This window comes from Homo sapiens, chromosome 18, assembly GCF_000001405.40.
Source record: "Homo sapiens chromosome 18, GRCh38.p14 Primary Assembly".
Taxonomy (NCBI): Eukaryota; Metazoa; Chordata; class Mammalia; order Primates; family Hominidae; genus Homo; species Homo sapiens.
Genome location: NC_000018.10, coordinates 21,917,402 through 21,936,662, shown reverse-complemented (window position 1 = coordinate 21,936,662; position 19,261 = coordinate 21,917,402). Strand labels below are relative to the sequence as shown.

Sequence of the window (19,261 nt, the reverse complement as noted above, 5' to 3'; positions counted from 1 at the left end):
CTGTAAAATGATCATAACACTTGCTCGATAAGATCTACATGAGGCGTAAATAAGATAATATATAGAATCGCTCAGCATCACACAGTACACTGTAAGCATGCATTCAGCCATCCATTCACTCCTTCAACAAGTATTTATTGAGCACCTACTATGCACCAAGCCCTGTGCAAGGCATCGCTATAGCATCTGAACAACATAGACATGGTCTCCATCATGGAGTTTAGTCTGAAAGAGGGAAGCAGACAGTATATCTATATAAATATGAGCAAATGACCAGTGGAAGCTTGTTGGAGGGAAGGAACAGGATGCAATAAGAGAATAAGAGAGTGAACATACTTTGGACCAGAGCAGATGCAGAGGTTTTGGGCAACTCCTCTCTGAGGGAGCTCCACTTGGGCCCTGAAGGATGTGTAGGAGCTGAGTGAGGACGAGGGAGGAGCAGGAGCTGGCAGAGGGCCTGGAAGAGGGAGGAGAACCCACAGAGTGTGTGGCCCAGAAAGCCAGGAGAGAGACAGGGCCAAAGGGCAAGAGACCAGCCTGCCAGTGCTGCCGCTAAGATGGAGCCTGGAAGGTGGATTTGCCACCAAGACTTGGACGAGGACCTGGACAAGAGGAATGTCAGGGGCATGGGATTCAGAACCAGTATAACTATCATCCTCCAAAAGGCATGACAGGGGAGCCTTCAAGAGTGGACGCTCCAAAAAAGCCAGCAGGAGCAAAGAAGTGTCCCTCATGGAGGGGGGCGGGCTTTGTGAGCTGAGCCTCGGACCAAAACCAAGAAAGTTTTTCAGCAGCTCATCCCTGTTCACCCGTTCACCTGTTCACCCACCCTCACCCTCCACCTCTGTGACAGTCCCCTGGAGATTCAGTCCCAAGTGGCAGCCTTTGAACTGGGACCATAAAGTAGGCATCTGAGCCTGAACAGTCAGAATTTTTTTTTTTTTTTTTTTGAGACAGGGTCTCCCTCTGTTGCCCAGACTGGAGTGCAGTGGTGTGATCTCAGTTCACTGCAATCTATGCCTCCCTGCTCAAAGGATTCTCCCACCTCAGCCTCCTGAGTAGCTGGGACCACAGGCGTGCACCACCACATCCAGATAATTTTTCTGTTTTTTAGTAGAGACAGGATTTCTCCATTTCGCCCAGGCTGGTCTCAAATTCCTGGGCTCAAGCCATCCACCCACATTGGCCTCCCAAACTGTTAGGATTACAGGCATGAGCCACCACGCCCAGCCAAACAGACAGAAAATTTGTCATGAGTCTTCACATAAGAGTCTCTGGTCACAGAACCAAGAGTCTGTGTCTGCAGTCCCACATGGAAGGGGGCATAGCAGAAAGAATTCCATCCCTGAATGTGGGGAGGCTTCCAGACATCACCCAGGCGCCCTCTCAAAGGCCCTGTCGGGGCTAAGTTGTGCTTATTCTTCATCAATTCTGAATCTGTGTTTGAAATCACCCGTTCCTTGGTAGCATCTCCAGAAATGACTTCAAAGTTCTTCCCTGGGCCTCAGACCGGGGAGTGTGAAGATGCTTTGCAATTCTGACACTGTAAGAGGTCCAGGCTATGTCCCCCTGAGCAAGACTTGTGTGTGTGAAATCACAGCAGGATGTGTCTCAAGAGCACCAGTTGCTCCAGAAAAGCTACCATTTCCTCCCTTACGGAGCCACGCTTTAGCCCACCCAGAAGGGTGCCTTTGAGGAGGAGGACATGGGCTGACAGGAGGCAGAGCCAGGAGAAGGTAAAGGAGGCCAGAGGCCACTGAGACTGGGGCTTATCTGCGACATCCCCAGGTGATTAGCTTTGGGTTCACTCTGTCTGTGAAGGTGTCATCTCAGCGCCAGACTCTCCTCTGCAGGTCAGTTGGAAGAATGAATGAGCTGACACCTTGAGTGGGAGACAGCCTTCACGAGGAAGTCGGGGAGGGCAGAGAGTCCACAGGGAGGCAGGCTGCATCCCACAGCAAGGCCCCAGGTGACAGACACCTTGTCAGAAAATCACTAGCACCCAGGAGCACTGACAACCACCTCTCTCCAGAGAAGGCCTCAAACCCTGGGGTGGGGCAGCTGGAGAGAGGCTGGGACACCCAAGGCCTTTTACGAATCCTGAGCTGGAAGGGCTGCCACTGCCAGCCCCTGCCCCTTCGTACACTGGCCCTTTTGTCCATGAGCAATTTGGCAGTTATTCTAAAGTGGCTAAAATTTGGTACATCCTCCCAGGCCTTTCCTGGTCAGATCAAATGACCGTTTCGCTGAGACCTTTAGAGAAAGGAAGGATTACCTGCCACCCCTCCCCCGGGAGGCAGGTGAGAGTAAATCCACTTAACTGACCAGCACAGCCAGTTTACATATACAACAGCCGCTGAAAATGCGGCCTTTGTTCAACTGAGGCAGGTTTCCTGGCAGTGAGGTTAGATTAGCAATTTGTCCTTTGTCAGAGAATTAGCAGAGCCTCATTGTTTTAGTGTTTATTTATCAATTTGCATCTCTTAGTAGATTGGACCCAACTTGGGGGGGCCCCAATTCCCTCACATCTCTACTGCTCATTTTACCTCCTCTGCCAAGGACCTAAGGAAGCTGGATTAGAGCACGCAGACCAAAGCACATGCAAATCCTCCTGGGCTTTTCTTCTGTTCAGGTTCAACCTCTTTGGCTCTCCCTGGCTGCAGAGTGGAAATGACAGCCCCACCAGCAGGGAGAAACAATGGCTCCTCCAGACAAAGGGGCTCATTCTCACCTGTAAACATGCTGCTTCTAGCACAGAACTCTGAACTCATAGATATTTGTGGGATAAAGAGAGTCTTAGATTTTGTTTTGTTTTGTTTTTTGATACAGGGTCTCACTATGTTGCCCAAGCTGGTCTCAAACTCCTGGCCTCAAGAGATCCTCCCATCTTAGCCTCCCAAGTAGCTGGGATTACAGGTGTAAGCCACAGCACCTAGTCCTTACACTCCCAGTTTTGATGCCAATCTGTCTTTGGGTAGTTGGACAGTTCTCACCAAGTGTGAGAGTTTCCTTTAGATGTCACTGTGGTTATGGTAAATCTGAGAGGGGTGAAGATGACCACATGAAGCTGACAAAATGCCACACAGAATTCTCTGAAGGGGCTGACCGATGGGCATCACATCCCTCTCTCCCTGTCCAAAGAAAATTATGTATTAAGCACCAAATTGTACATGATTCTGTACAGGGAGAATTGTATTATCCCAATACCTTCTCTCCTAGGATATTTTCACCTTAGGCTTTAGCTTACCCCTTTGTTTTAAAAAAATTACAGTTGCACGCCACCACACCTGGCTAATTTTTGTATTTTTGGTAGAGACAGGATTTCGCCATGTTGGCCAGGCTGGTCTTGAACTCCTGACCCCAGGTCATCCACCCACATTGGCCTCCCAAGGTGCTGGGATTACAGGCATGAGCCACCACGCTTGGCCCAGAATTTTCAAGTGTATTGTAGTGAGAGGCCGGCAGAGTTCAGGCTTTTAAGTCTGCAATGTCTGTGTGATTATCTCTTCAACTAAAGTGTAAGTCTCCATGTATATTTCTTTGCTTTATACACATAACACCTAAATCTGTGCCAAGTGCATATCAAATGATCAACAAACATGACAAATGAATAACATTTGTTCTATTCCTTTCATATAAAGATGGTACTTCTTTAGAGCCTAACTAGCTGTATGACGTTGGGAAACTTTTATTTCTCTGAACCTGTTTTCTCATGTGCAAAATGGAGAAAATCCCTCTCTTACATGGGAGCTAGGAGGATCAATAAGCATTTAATTCATCTAGCATAGTGCCCCCTGGCTAGTGCTCAATCATCATAGTGTGGGCCTGGAGGGCACACACTGAATGTTTTCTACTTAGTGACAATGGCTAAGTCTGATACATAAAATATCCTTCTGTTATTCATTGTAAAATTCTTGCCAACATTTGTAGCTACAGACTGGAACTAGAGAAGTAAACACTTCTTGAATGCCTGCTAAGAGCTTCCACAGACATATTTTTAACTCCCTCCCAACCTGATAAATCAAGTGTTATTCTTTTTCTTTTCAGAGAACTGCAGGGAGGTTAAATGACTTTGTAAGCTTGCCCAACAGTGCAGAAAGATCCGAGATCTATCTAACCTATATCAGGTACCACAAGCTAATGAGACCACAAACAAGGGCATCGGGTAGGTCTGCAGCCTCAGAATCTAGACCACTTGATCAACCCGTCATAGAAGCAATTTGGAAATAAAGACAAAAGTATAACCACAAACCTTCTCTGTCATCCAAAATTTCTTCCAGCCCTGGGCAGCATAGACTTCACAAATGCCTGACTCCTTGAGGAACCAAGCCATTCTGAAGACCTCATAAGCTGTGGCTGAGATGGTTACCTCAACTTTCAGTCACTCCAAAACATTGGCAAGGTATTTTTGCCAACCATAGTGGAAGAAAAGAGATCATGGAAGAGAAAAAAATAGAGTCACGACATATCTCTCCAAATGCAGATGAAAAGGAAAGGAGCTGCAACAGCTAATGTACCATATTTGTGATTGGCCACGTCAATATAAGAAGATATATTAGCAAACTGATTAAGAGCAAGTCATCAGGCTGGTGCAATGGTTCACACCTGTAATCCCAGCACTTCGAAAGGCTGAGGCGGGAGGATCACTTGAGCTCAGGAGTTCAAGACCAGCCTGGGCAACATAGTAAGACCCTGTCTTAAAAAATAAAAAAATTATATATATATTCTTTTTTTTAAAAAAAAGAGCAAGGCATCAGATGCAGGCAGCCCTGGGTTTGTATCCTGGTTCTACCACTCATTAGTGGAACCATCTGAATGAGTTACTGAGCCTTAGTGTCCTTACCTTTAAAATGGGTATAAGCATACTCCTCTCACAAGGTTGTTGTAAGGGTTTAAATAAAATACCTATGAGATACTTTTAATAGTGCCTGACATTTAGTGAGCATCCAATACATGGTAGCTGTACTAACAATAAAAATAATAGATGACATGTGAAGTTTTAAGAATTTACACATATTTACTCACTTCTAATTCATGACAACCATATGAAATAGAGACTATTACAGATGAGAAACTGAGGCACAGAGGGGTTAGGCAACTTGCCCAAGGTCACACAACTAGTAAGCAGCAGAAATAGAATGTGAACCCAGGTAGTCGGCCTGCAGAATCCACACTATTCTATACCGCCTGTCAGTCCTCTTGCTGCCATTGTCATTTTCATTGTCAATATCACTAAATGGTGGCAAAACTAGGGGAGGCAGAGACAGTTACAGGCAGGCAAAGAAAACCCACCAGTAGTGACAGCGAACATCTAGAAACACCCAGCCAATCCTCACAGAGAGCTTAGAGCCCCTAAGGCTGAAAGGCACCTACCTGCCCACAATTGGATCTATGCTCTAAAAAAAGATGAAACCAGCTCCAAGCCCCAGGCAGGCTGCAGAACAGCCCCAAGTATGTAACTCAATATATGTGCTAGGGATTGCATTAGGCACCGTGGGAGGTTTCCAAAGAAATACAACTAGGCCTTATGGGAGAGACATGCCATCCACATGAAAAGCCGGGCTTAGAGAAAATCCTTGGCAAAGATGGCATGAAGCTAGCCTCGAGACATTGGGATGACAGGGGACCAAAGACAGTGCTCAGGTGGGTGCTTGAGGAGTTCCTTTGGTGCTGCCATCTTACTGGCTTAGTTGAAAAAACATTGTTTCCCACAGTAGCCCAGCAAGGCAGTAGTTGCAGAATTAACCGCAACCAGGCCGGGCACAGTGGTTCACACCTGTAATCCCAGCACTTTGGGAGGCCGAGGCGGGGAGATCACCGGAGGTCAGGAGTTCAAGACCATCCTGGCCAACATGGCAAAACCCCGTCTCTACTAAAAATACAAAAATTAGCTGGGGGTAGTGGTGCGCACCTGTAGTCTCAGCTACTCAGGAGGCTGAGGCAGGAGGATCACTTGAACCCAGGAGGCAGAGGCTGCAGTGAGCTGAGATCACGCCACTTCACTACAGCCTGGGTGACAGAGAGGGACTCCGTCTCAAAAAAAAAACAAACAACAACAACCAAAAGAATTAACTACAACCTTTCCCGGGTCAGTTGAATCAGCTGGTATGAAGCAAACCAAATGTCTCACTTCCTTAAGAACATCACTGGGAAACTCTAGGGTGAAAGGTTGGCTTGGAAATAGCAAGGGTCCTGGCCCTGGAATTTTTTGACACGTTAGATTCAGGAAAAATAAATCTGTGTAGCAGGGTCATCTGTGGAGTTGCGGAAGAATGTTGGCCTTCGTTGCAGGAAAAGAAAGTGCTCCAATGAGGGTTTGGGGCTCCAGGAAACGCTGCATCTTGGCCTCTGCCCCACTACTCCTCTTCCATGTCATTAAACCGGGGGGCGGGAAGGAGGCCCCTGCTTTCTCTTCTGTGCTGCATAGATGGTGAGCACTCTTGTTTACTCTCACAGAGAAATCTTGGTCTTTTTTTTTTTTTTTTTGAGATGGAATCTTGATCTGTCACCCAGGCTGGAGTGCAACGGTGCAATCTCGGCTCACTGCAACCTCCACCTCCCAGGCTCAAGCAATTCTTCTGCCTCAGCCTACCAAGTAGCTGGGATTACAGGCATATGCCATCATGCCCAGCTAATTTTTGTATTTTTGTACAGATGAGATTTCACCATGTTGGCCAGGCTAGTCTTCAATTCCTGATCTCAAGTGATCCACCCACCTTGGCCTCCCAAAGTGCTGGGATTACAGGTGTGAGCCACCGCACCTGGCTGTTCTTATCTTCAATGTAGAAAGAATTAAGACTGGAAATATTTTGTGTCAGTAGAACTGGATCCAGATGCATCCTGAGAAATTCTAAATTCAGCTCCGAGAAAATGGATTAACATTCCACTTGATTAAAGCAAGAAAATTAAAACAAGAAGTAATAATAATAATTTAGAGTCCAAGAACAAGCCCCCTTTTCATCATAATCAAGAGAATTGGGAAATGTTAATGTTTTGCCAATGTGTGTCACTAAATTGCATTTTCATTCATTTCTTACTGGGTTTCTAACACCTAGTATGATCAAACCTGTCACCAAGAACAGGAAGTCAAGGAAAAAACAAATCAGCTGCTTGCTCTGGAATCAAGATGGCCTCAGAACCATTAGTGAGCCTGACACCTCTGGAGGCTACAATTAGGATGATCACGCGTCCTGAAGCAAAAATCATAACCGTCCTCTGACAGTAGGACAGAAGAGTAAGGCAATGAGTGATTCTCTGATCAGTGAGGTCTTTTCCCTGGACTCTTCAGTACAGACCAGGAACACCAAAGAAGAAACAGGCAGCCCAGCAAGAGCAATGAAGGATGCTGTAAGCTCAGGGCCCAGAGAAGCTAATTTCCCTTCAAGCATCCATTTATACGCAAAACAAAGTGTAATCCCTAAAATGCATCTGAACTACTCACTTTGTGGAATTAAAGAAAAAATAAACAATGAACCTACAATTCACATTTGATGAATGACCCACTAGATTAATCAAGACGCTCCTGAACCTGAAGGGGGCAGGGTTCTATGGATAGAAAGTTGGGTAGGGCCTGCTGCCATAGTACTCTGAAAGCACCCAATCCTGTCTGATCTCAAAAGCTAAGCAGGGTTGGGTCTGGCTAATATTTGGAAGGGAGAAAGTTGGGTAGGAATACGTGGTTTCGTTCTTAGCTAGCTAAATGTGCCTCTCCCCTAGGGAGGAGAGGAGTGGAAGCCACCATAACCCCACAGCCCAAGATATTCCCAACTCTGCAATACAGCTCAGTGCAGAATGGCAGAGGCATGATAAGAAGCTGAAATTCAACAGGTGCATCTCATTGGTTCTTATACGTAAACAAGGATCTTTTTTTAAATTGAGATATAATTTACGTACATTAAAATTTACGCAGTTTAGCATGCAGTTCTGTGACTTTTGACAAATGGATATAGTCACATAACTACTCACACAACCCAAATATAGGACAGTTCCATCAGAACAGGCATGGTGGCTCATGCCTGTAATCCCAGTACTTTGGGAGGCCGAGGTGGGAGAATCACTTGAGGTCAGGAGTTCAAGACCAGCCTGGCCAATAGGGTGGAACCCTGACTCTACTGCAAATACAAAAATTAGCCAGGCATGATGGTGCATGCCTGTAATCCCAGCTACTCAGGAGGCTGAGGCAGGAGAATCACTTGAACCTGGGAGGCAGAGGGTGCGAACCTGGGAGGCAGAGGTTGCAGTGAGCAAGATGGCACCACTGCATTCCAGCCTGGGTGACAGACTGAGACACTGTCTCAAAAAAAAAAAAAAAAGAAAAAAAAAAAAAGAACAGTTCCATCAACTCAAAATATTTCCCCAGGCTTTGTAATCAATCACTCTTCTATCCCTACCCAGCCTCTGGCAACCACATTTGTTTTCTGTTCCTGTAGTTTTACCTCTTCCAGAAAGTCATAAATATGAAATCATATGGTACATGACTTTTAGAGCCTGGCTTTTTCCACTTAGCGTAATGCATTTGAGATCCATTCTTGTTACCTCAGGTATGGGGAGTTCATTTCTTCTTATTGCTGAGTAAATTTCATGCCATGGATGTACCATAGTTTGTAGAACCGTTTACCACTTGAAGAACATTTGGGTTGTTTGCAGTTTGGGGCAATCACAAATCAAGCTGTTTAAACATTTGCATAAAAGTTTTTGTGGCCAGGTGCAGTGGCTCACGCCTATAATCCCAGCACTTTGGGAGGCCAAGGCAGGCAGATCACTTGAGGTCAGGAGTTCGAGACCAGCCTGGCCAACGTGGTGAAACCCCATCTCTATTAAAAATACAAAAATTAGCTGGGTATGGTGGTGTATGCCTGTAATCTCAGCTACTCGGGAGGCTGAGGCAGGAGAATTGCTTGAACCCGGGAGGCAGAGTTTGCTGTGAGCTGAGATCATGCCATCGCACTCCAGCCTTGGCAACAAGAGTGAAACTCCGTCTCGAAAAAAAAAAAAAAGTGAAATTTATATTTACCATTCAACCATGCAATCACATGTTTAGATATTTACCCACATGAAGCAAAAACTTACGTTCACACACAACTTTTTTTTTTTTTTTTTTTTGAGACAAAGTCTCACTCTGTCACCTAGGCTGGAGTTTAGTAATATGATCATAGCTCACTGCAGCCTCAAACTCCTGGGCTCAAGGAATCCTCCCACTTTAGCCTCCCAAAAACCTGGGATTACAGGTGCATGCCGCCATGCCTGGCTAATTTTTTGAGTTATTACTGTTTTTTTTTTTTTGAGACAGAGTCTTGCTCTGTTGCCCAGGCTGGAGTGTAATGGCGTGATCTCAACTCACTGCAACCTCTGCCTCCCAGGTTCAAGGAATTCTCCTGCCTCAGCCTCCGGAGTAGCTGGGATTACAGGTCCCCACCACCATACCTGGCTAATTTTTGTGGTTTTTAGTAGATAAGGGGTTTCACCATGTTGGTCAGGCTGGTCTCGAACTCCTGACCTCAGCAGATCCACCCGCCTTGGCCTCCCAAAGTGCTGGGATTACAGGCATGAGCCACCGCACCTCGCCCTTAAATTATTACTTTTTGTGTGTAGAGACAGGGGTCTCACTATGTTAACCCAGGCTGGTCTCAAATTCCTGACCTCAAGTAATCCTCCCCACTCAGCCACATGATTTTTTTGTTTTATTTTGGTTTCTAATTGTGGCCATTTTAATAGGTGTGTAGCAATATCTCCCTGTGCTTTCAAAAGGGTCACATTGGAAGTCACATAGAAAATGGCTAGGAAGGGGATTGGCACTAGTAGTGAGACTAAGGAGAAGACCATTGACAATTTCCAAGCAAGAGATAATGAATGGCTAAAACCCAAATGCAGCAGCAGGAACAGAAAGCAAGGGACAGATATTAATGACTCAACAGGTTATCATCTGGCCCAAACATTATGTGAATTTGAAAACATCTGACCAATACATATCCTTACAAGAAAAAATAGAGCCATTTGTAGGGGGCCCCGTGTACATTATAAATTGCTTCCTTCCAGCCCCCATGCAAACCCACATCTCTCCCTGGTCATCCCCCCACAAGACATCACAACCAAGTCTCTTTCCTAAAGGTGTCCATTTGCTCACCTCCATTTCATACCTTTTCAACTTACGTGTGATAAAATCACAATTTACCTTGATTCAGAAGCCCAAGTAGATTCTACTGAGATAATTATATTATTGAAGTTAAGTCAATAATTTAATGATCCAGTTAGGATGGGTTCATCATGAATGTATGAAATAAGTAAGCCCCTCTTTTTATGTTGCTGAATCACGTCCTATAAGTCACTTCTCCCTGCCTTGTCTGCTCACTCCACAATTGTCTGGATGCACAGAAGCATGGGCATTTGAAGAATCAGGACTCAAGACATGGACGGTCGGGATGCTGCCTTGCAGACATCTGCTTTCAGTGGCCCCTCCAAGGAAGCAACAGAAATTGTCCAGGAGCGGACAGTGCCCATAAAATACAGTATGCTACAGCAGCAGGAAATCTTTGGGGAGACATTATTATATTCCCAATTCAAATGCCTTTGCCACTAGTCTTTTTCTGCCCCCTGTTGTTGGCACCCCTGGTTCCCTATGAAGAAGAGTTAAAAACAGCGGGAGGGTTCTAGTCCGGGCTTTGCTCTTCATTCACTCTGAGAAGTGACTTAATCCCTCTGGCCCCAGTGTCCTCATTTCACAGATGAGATGGGACTAAAACTGGATCATCTTTAAAGTTCCCAGTTAAACAAGAAGCTGGTTATAAACCTAACTTTGCAGGAAACATCCTAATTTATAACCACTGATTTTAGTGATTAGGGCAATAAATGTCTTGTTAAAGATTTAAAACACTGAATGCTCCTTTAGTGTGCCAGTGGAACAAATCAATACTTCTTTTTGATCCACTTACAACTCATCATCCAGAACAAAGAAAAAAAATCTGGTGTCTGTTAGCAAAGTCAACTTTTTAAAAGAAATATGCAATTGTATATTTATATGTCAGCCACAGCTAAACTTTTTGCCACCTAAAAGCCAAACAAAAGAACTCTAATTACCCTTCAGTTATCTTCAGCCATCATACCAGTTTCATCACTTACTTAACGAAATTTCCAAAATCCCCTCTGGAAGAAAATTCAACCCACATCCACATACGTAAATATTGTAGAATGAGGAGTGGTATAAACTATGTAACTCTTTTCCTCACAATAATTCCCAATAAAGAAGTACTGTTAAATTTTCAGATTTTAGAGATGCAATTTCGAGAAATATAATCATTAGAACAAAATCCCATTACAACATATCAGATATAGTTATATAAGTATCGATATATAGTTAGGTGTAGTTATGTACAGATAGTTATGGTCAGATATAGTTATGCAGACTCTGTAGTAATAAAATTCCATTTCTCATCAGACAAAATCCAAGACCTGAACATTTATTTGTCCTTAAAATGACATGTAAAAACCTTTAGTGTTACCTGTATCATGTAGAGACATAAAACATTAATTTTTTATACATTTAAACCTGTTCATGTTTTTTCTTTTATGATTTCAAGGCTTCCAAAATTTCTAAAAGAAAAAATTTCCCAACTCTGAAATTATGTAAAAATAGTCTGCTAAATTGTCTCCTAATATTTCAAATTTTTTACATTTTAGTCTTATTGCATCTGGAGCTTATTTCTATACATGGTATAAAAAAGAAGTGTTATTTTTGTCCCAGGTGGAAACTGTTAGTTATGCTAGCATTACTTATTAAATAAATCATCTTTGTTTTGTTTTAGGATCTCACTTTGTCACCTAGGTTGGAGTGCAGTGGCACAATCTTGGCTCACTGCAGCCTCAACCTCCCAGGTTAAAGCGATCCTCCTGCCTCAGCCCAGCAAGTAGCTGGGACTACAGGCATGCATCACCACGCCCAGCTAATTTTTTCTATTTTTAGAGATGGGTTTTCACCATGTTGCCCAGGTTGGTCTCGAACTCTTGAGCTCAAGCGATCCTCTCACCTTGGCCTCCCAAAGTGCTAGGATTACAAGCATGAGCCACCGGCACCTGGCCTTTTTTCACTGAATTGAAATGTCATTTTTATGATGAATCAAGTTGCTATATATTCTTTGAACTATTTTTGGACTATCCATTTCCACTGATCCAAGGATATTTGTTGCTTGTTTATTGTTATTTATATTCACAAAAGCTGGAAAAAACTAGCATATCTATCAGTAAGAGAATAGATAAATAGATTGTAGAACATCCATATCACAGAATGTTATTTTTAATTATTATTTTTTGAGACAGGGTCTCATTGTGTTGCACAGGTTGGAGTGCAGTGGCTATTCACAGGTGCAATCATAGAACACTACAGCTTCAAAGTCCTAGGCTGAAGGGATCCCCCAGCCTCAGCCTCCTGAGTAGCTGGGACTACAGGCCCACACCACTGCACCCAGCCAAAATATTATTTTTCTAAGAAAATAATGAATTAAATTATAAATATTGGTCTGATGTGATAGCTATAAATACCATGCTTTCTTTTTAAAAAACAACTTGCAAGGCCGGTTGCAGTGGCTCACGCCTGTAATCCCAACACTTTGGGAGGCCAAGGCGGGCAGATTGCTGGAGGTCAGGAGTTCGAGACCAGCCTGGCCAACATGGTGAAACCCTGTCTCTACTAAAAATACAAAAATTAGCTGGGCGTGGTGGCACATGCCTGTAATCCCAGCTACTCGGGAGGCTGAGGCAGGAGAATCGCTTGAACCCGGGAGGCAGAGGTTGCAGTGAGCTGATATCAGGCCCTGCATTCCACCCTGGGTGACAGAGCAAGACTCCGTCTCGGGGAAAAAAGAAAAAAAAAAAAAACTTGCAGAGTAATGATTTGAGAGATAGAAGCTTCTATAAGTATATACATTTGTGAGAAAAGTGTTTACATTAATTATCTCAGAGATTGATCATGGGGGAGGGGAAGAATATTAACTTTATAGCCTTTCAAATTGCTTAATTTGTTTATGTCAAGTGTGTACTTTTTAAATTTAAAAATCTAACAACAGCTAGGCATGGTGACACACACACCTACTTGGCTGAGGCGAGAGGATTGCTTTGAGGTCAGGAGTTCAAGATTGCAGTGCACTGTGGTCACCAGCATTGCACTCCAGCCTGGGCAATATAGCAAGATCTCATTTTTTAGAAAAGAACAGCAAGTTTTAAAAAGTAAAAATAAGCCAGGCATAGTGGTGCATGCCTGTTATCCCAGCACTTTGGGAGGCAGAGGCAGGAGGATTGCTTGGGGCCAGGAGTTCAAGACCAGCCTGGGCAACATAGGGAGACCCCCCATCCCTAAAATAAATAAATAGTAAAAGTAAAAAATAAATATTTAATAAATAACAGATTTGTTTAAAATCCTCATTTGTCTATGTGTGAGGGGTTTTATTTGCATCACTAAAATTAAGTAGAGGCATAAAACCCAGAGGTCATAAATGAAAAATAAAAGACATATTTAGCTATATAAAAATTAACAAGGCTGTTTAGCAAAGAAATATCATAAATAAAGTTATAAAAGGCAACTCATTGAAACAGAATACGAAAGCTACATAAGAAAAACTATTTATCACATACAAAGACATTTTATCAATCAATACAAATAAATAAATAAATAATAAAATGGGCAAAGTGAATTAACAATTCATAAAAGAAATCCTTGTTGTAAAATTTATATATACTGTGTGTATATATATATGTACAAACATATATAACATATATATGTATAGTTCAACCTCATTTATTATCAAGGAATCCAAATTAAAATAAAAATATATATTTCACCCATCTCCAGAGAAATTGACAGCAACAGCCCCAAGCCTGTCCCATGTCAGAATGGTAATATCAGGGTAGCACAAAAGTCCTGCTGGAGTGAGATATTAATAAAAACAGGCCTGGACTGATGGTCCCCCACACACCAGTTGCCCATGACTGGGGTACTACAAACTAAGGAAACTGGCTTCTACTAGAGCTGCTTATTTCAAAGAGTTTAAAGAAGGATTCCTGAGGCAGAGTTGTCTGGTGGATATTACTCCTGAAAAAGAAATAATTAACAGTAGCTGAGGGCATCTCTCTGCACTGGGACTTCCTACTCCCCTCTCCCTAATACTCAGAGAGATTTGGCTTGGGGTCTGGCCTTCATCCCTTTCCCCAAACACATTACCAGAAAGAGCAGCTGTTATTCCCAGGTGAACATGAGCTCACAGGCACAAATAACTAGATACCTGAGAACGTCTCTAACAGACAAACAGTGAGCTAAACACAGATACCAGCTAAAGCAAAATGGAAACAGATGGACGAAGAATTTTAAATAAACACTATATATATATAGTTTGTATATATAAACAAGGGGTTATATATCTTAGGACCAAAAATTAAGAATTAAAAACTATAAGAAAAAGGTAGAAAAGTTGACTACGAATATATAAAAGTTGACGTAAAGAACACAATAGATAGAAAAAATAATAGAAAATTATAGAAAGCCGGGTGCCATGGCTCATGCCTGTAATCCTAGCACTTTGGGAGGCCAAGGTGGGTAGATCACCTGAGGTCAGGAGTTCCAGACCAGCCTGGCCAACATGGTAAAACCCCATCTCTACAAAAAATACAAAAATTAGCTGAGCATTGTGGCACGCACCTGTAATCACAGCCACTCGGGAGGCTGAGGAAGGAGAATCACTTGAACCCGGGAGGTGGAGGTTACAGTGAGCCGAGATTGCGCCACTGCACTCCAGCCTGGGCAACAAGAGCGAAACTCCATCTCAAAAAAAAGAAAAAAGAAAAAATAATAGAAGACAAAAGCAAAATTAGATGAACTCTCTAGCAGGCAGCAGGAAAGGATAAGGACACATTAAAAGTGCTTTAAAAGTTAAAAGATTTGAAGGGCAGAAAACATATCAATATCTAATATGAGTCCCAGGAGACTTTTTAAAATAAAAGCAGGGAATATGTGAATAAATTATGAAGAAAAATATTTTAGAATTTTTTTCAAATTAGCTCACCAATTAAAAGACAGACTCTAAGATTAGATTTGAAAAATAACACAAACAAAATATGTTGGGCCAGGTGCAATGGCTCACACTTATAATCCCAGCACTTTGGTAGGTCAAGCCAAAAAGGATCGCTTAAGCCCAGGAGTTCAAGACCAGCCTGGGCAACATAGCGAGACCCTGCCTCTACAATTAAAAAAAAAAAAAAAATAGCCAGGCATGTTGGCACTTGCCTGTGGTACTAGCTACTCAGGAAGCTGAGGCTGGAAAGTTACTTGATCCTAGGAGTTCAAGGTTACAGTGAGCTCTGATAGTGCCACTGCACTCCAGTCTGGGCAATAGAGTGAGACTCTGTCTCTAAAAAAAAAATAATTAAAAAATTATAAATAATATGTTGACCACAAAAGACATACTTGAAGACACAGAAACATTGAAAAATAAAGAATGGATAAACACATGCTAGGTAGCTATGGACCAATAGAAAGCAGATATAGCTATCTTAATACAGAAAAAATCAATTTCTGAAAAAAGTATCAAAAGTGAACAGGAAAAAACATAGAAACTGAAAAGGAGGAAAATGAAAAGCAGATATAAAAGTCGGCATGGTGTTGTGCACCTGTAATTGCAGCCACTCAGGAGGCTAAGGCAGGAGGATCACTTGAGTCCAAGACTGGGATCAGTATGTTTCCCAGGCTAGTCAAGCGATCTTCCCACCTTAGCTTCTCAAAGTATTGGGAATAAAGGTGTGAGCCCACCTCACCCAGCCAAAATAAAATTTAAAAAAAGAAAAGAAGACATAACCATCAAAACACATATACACTTAACAATACAATCTCAAGATATGTAAAACAATAAATAATTGACCTAACTCTAAGGAAAAACAGACTATAACTGGAAATTTTAACAGACTACTTTCAGGAACTAATAGATTAATAAAAAAGAAAATAAGAGATATTCAGTGCAGTTAACAACCTCAAACTTTTAGAAATATATAAACTCAGCCAGTCACAGTGGCTCAGGCCTGTAATCCCAGCACTTTGAGAGGCCGAGGTGGGCAGGTCACCTGAGGTCAGGAGTTCGAGACCAGCCTGGCCAACATGGTGAAACCCCATCTCTACCGAAAATACAAAAATTAACCAGACATGGTGGTAGGTGCCTGTAATCCCAGTTTACTTGGGAGGCTGAGGCAGGAGAATCACTTGAACCTGTGAGGCAGACGTTGCAGTGAGCCGAGATCATGCCACTGCACTCCAGCCTGGGCAACAGAGCGAGACTCCATCTCAAAAAAAAAAAAAAAAAAAGGAAAAAAAAGAAGAAAAAAAATAGATAAACTCTACATTCAACAAATATAGAAACACATTCTTTTCATGTGCATGTAGAACATTTACAAAACAAGATGATTTATTAGACCATAAAGGTAGCCTCAATAAATTCATAAAATAACAAATTAAAACTTAAAATAGTTGCTTAAAAATACTATATGCATCAAAACTAAAAAGCATATTACAAAATAATACTGTTTTCCAACTGAATAACTTGATGTTTTAAATATTGAGAATTATTTGTCATGTCAAATAATACATGTCAATGTATTATTTGTCATGTCAAATATACATGTCAAAATTTGGAGGACACAGCTAAAGCAATGCTAAAGGAAAAGTTATATTTTTAAACAAGTCTTTTTTTTTATTTTTTTGAGACAGAATCTCGCTCTGTTGCCCAGGCTGGAGTGCAGTGGCATGATCTTGGCTCACTGCAACCTCCACCTCCTGGGTTCAAGCAATTCTCGTGCCTCAGCCTCCCAAGTAGCTGGAATTACAGGCATGCGCCACCACACCAAGCTAATTTTTGCATTTTTAGTAGAGACAGGATTTCACCATGTTGGTGTCTGGTCTCAAACTCCTAACCTCAAGTTATCCACCCACCTTGGCCTCCCAAAGTGCTGGAATTACAGGTGTGACCACCGCACCTGGCCACACAATTCTACCAAGAAGCAAGAAAGGTTATACACCAGTGAGATTCAACTCAAAAAATTGAGTAAACTGTAACAGGACAAATTTTTAAAAGCAAAAAGGAAGGAAATTATTACACAGAGAAGGGTAGAAATTAATGAAGTAAGGGGCAAAAATAAGAGAATCTTAACAAAACTAAAGGGCTATTTTCTTTTAAGACTAATAATGTAGCAAACATGTTGCAAGACTGATGAAGAAAAAGAGAAAATATTTAAATGAATAAAATAAAGAATGAAAAGAATAGATATAATAGATTAGAAAATAATTATAGAAATATTATTAACAATTGTACACTAACACATTTTATGACCAAAATGAAGTGGACAAATTCCTAGGGGGAAAAATGACAAAATTGGTGCAAGAAAAAATAGAAAATTTAAATAAGCCAATAAGCATGAAAGACATTGAAAAGGTAGTCAACAAAACCTCCCCTCACAAAGAGAAAATTTTACCTTAAATAATTTACAGAGGAAGTCTAGCAAACTTTGAAAGTACAGTTAACTCATATTATACAAGTTGTGCCAGAAAATAAGACAGGTTTACAGTTCATTTTATGAGACCTATGTAATCTTGATTTCAATGTCAGATAAGAACCTGATAAGAAAAGAAAATTACAGGCCTCTTGCCCTTAGAAATGTAGATATAAAATTCTTAAATAGAACAATAGCTAACTGAATCCTGATCAATGAAGTTTATCTCAGAAATGCAAGGATGGTTCAATCTGTGAAAATCTATCAAATCAATTTACCTCGTTAGTAGGCTACAAGAGGTAAATTGCATTATCTCAAATGATGGAAAAAGTTTCAGATAAAAGTCACCACTTAATTATGATTTTTTTAAAAATCCCTAGAAAACTAGGAATAGAAGGAAACTTTCTTAACTTAGTAAAAGTAATACACCAAAGCCTTTAGTAAACATTATAGTTAAGAAAAAACTTTAGATGTATTCCCTTTAAGATAAGAATAAGATAAGACTGCCCACTGTCATTACGTCTGTTGAACATTACAAGGAAAAGTCCTGGCCAACCCTACAAGAGGAAAAGAAGTAAGAGAGGTAAGAATTAAAAGGGAAGACATAAAAATTGTATTATTCACCTATGTAGAAAACTAACAGAACAATCAGGCAAATCATTAGAACTAATAAGAGAGCTCAGCAACACCATAGACTAAAAGAGAAATGTACACAGGTCAATACCATTTTTCTACACTAGCAACTGGAAAACTAACATGCTGTGGGCCAAATGCCCTCTAAGGCCTGTTTTTGTAAGGCCCCCACCAGCTAAGAATGGTTTTTACATTTATTAAAGGGTTGTAAAACAACTAAGAAAAAGAAAAAGAAGGATATGTAACAGAGACCTTACATGGCTGCCAGGCTTAAAATATTTACTATCTGGCCCTTTACAGAAAAAGCGTCCCTATCTCTGCTCTAAACTAATGATAACTGCCTAGGAAACATCACTTTTTAAAATATAGTATTATTCATAACAGCAACAAAAAATATATAGTAACTGAGAAGTTACTAAGTTAAGAATTTATAAATCCTCTGATGGAAAACATTTTAAACTGTAACAAAGGATGTACAAAATGAGCTGAGTTAGTGGGGAGCTATGCCATCCTCTTGGATGGATTCCCTGAGTTCTCCCCCAAATTAATCTACAAATTTAGTGCAATTCCAATTGGACTTTTAAAGAAATTCAATAAACACATTCTAAAATTTATATGGAAGAAGTATCCACCAAAAATACATAATTAACTTTATTTGTTTGTTTGTTTGTTTGTTTTGAGACAGGTTCTCACTCTGTCACCCATGCTGGAGTACAGTGGTGCAGTCACAGCTCACTGCAACCTCTGGCTCCCAGGTTCAAATGATCCTCCTACCTCAGCCTCCCAAGTAGCTGGGACCACAGGCGTGTGCCACCACGCCCAGCTAATTTTTTGTATTTTTGTTAGAGACAGGGTTTCACCATATGTCCAAGCTGGTCTCATACTCCTGGCCTCAAGTGATCTGCCTGCCTCAGCCTCCCAAAGTCTTAACTGACTTTATATAAGATTGAAGAGGGGGACATACTCTAGCATATATTAAGATATATTTAAAAGCTATAATAATAAAAGCAGTGTGGTAATGTACTCATGAACAGACAAACTGACCAATGGAACTGAAGGAGACTTCAGATATACCCTCATGCATATGTGGGAATTTAACATATGATAAAGGTGG

At 41.6% G+C, this 19,261-nt stretch overlaps 1 pseudogene, besides 2 other annotated features; it reads left to right on the top strand.

Moving 5' to 3' along the window:
- Positions 1,529–2,175: an enhancer, noted in NCBI's record as "OCT4-NANOG-H3K4me1 hESC enhancer chr18:19514449-19515095 (GRCh37/hg19 assembly coordinates)". NCBI's record gives its function as "activates a minimal SCP1, AML or CMV promoter by ChIP-STARR-seq in primed H9 embryonic stem cells {active_cell/tissue: H9 hESC(primed)}" and the evidence as "EXISTENCE:reporter gene assay evidence [ECO:0000049][PMID:30033119]".
- Positions 2,176–2,822: an enhancer, noted in NCBI's record as "OCT4-NANOG-H3K4me1 hESC enhancer chr18:19513802-19514448 (GRCh37/hg19 assembly coordinates)". NCBI's record gives its function as "activates a minimal SCP1, AML or CMV promoter by ChIP-STARR-seq in primed H9 embryonic stem cells {active_cell/tissue: H9 hESC(primed)}" and the evidence as "EXISTENCE:reporter gene assay evidence [ECO:0000049][PMID:30033119]".
- Positions 7,569–7,678, top strand: RNA5SP451 (RNA, 5S ribosomal pseudogene 451; annotated as a pseudogene).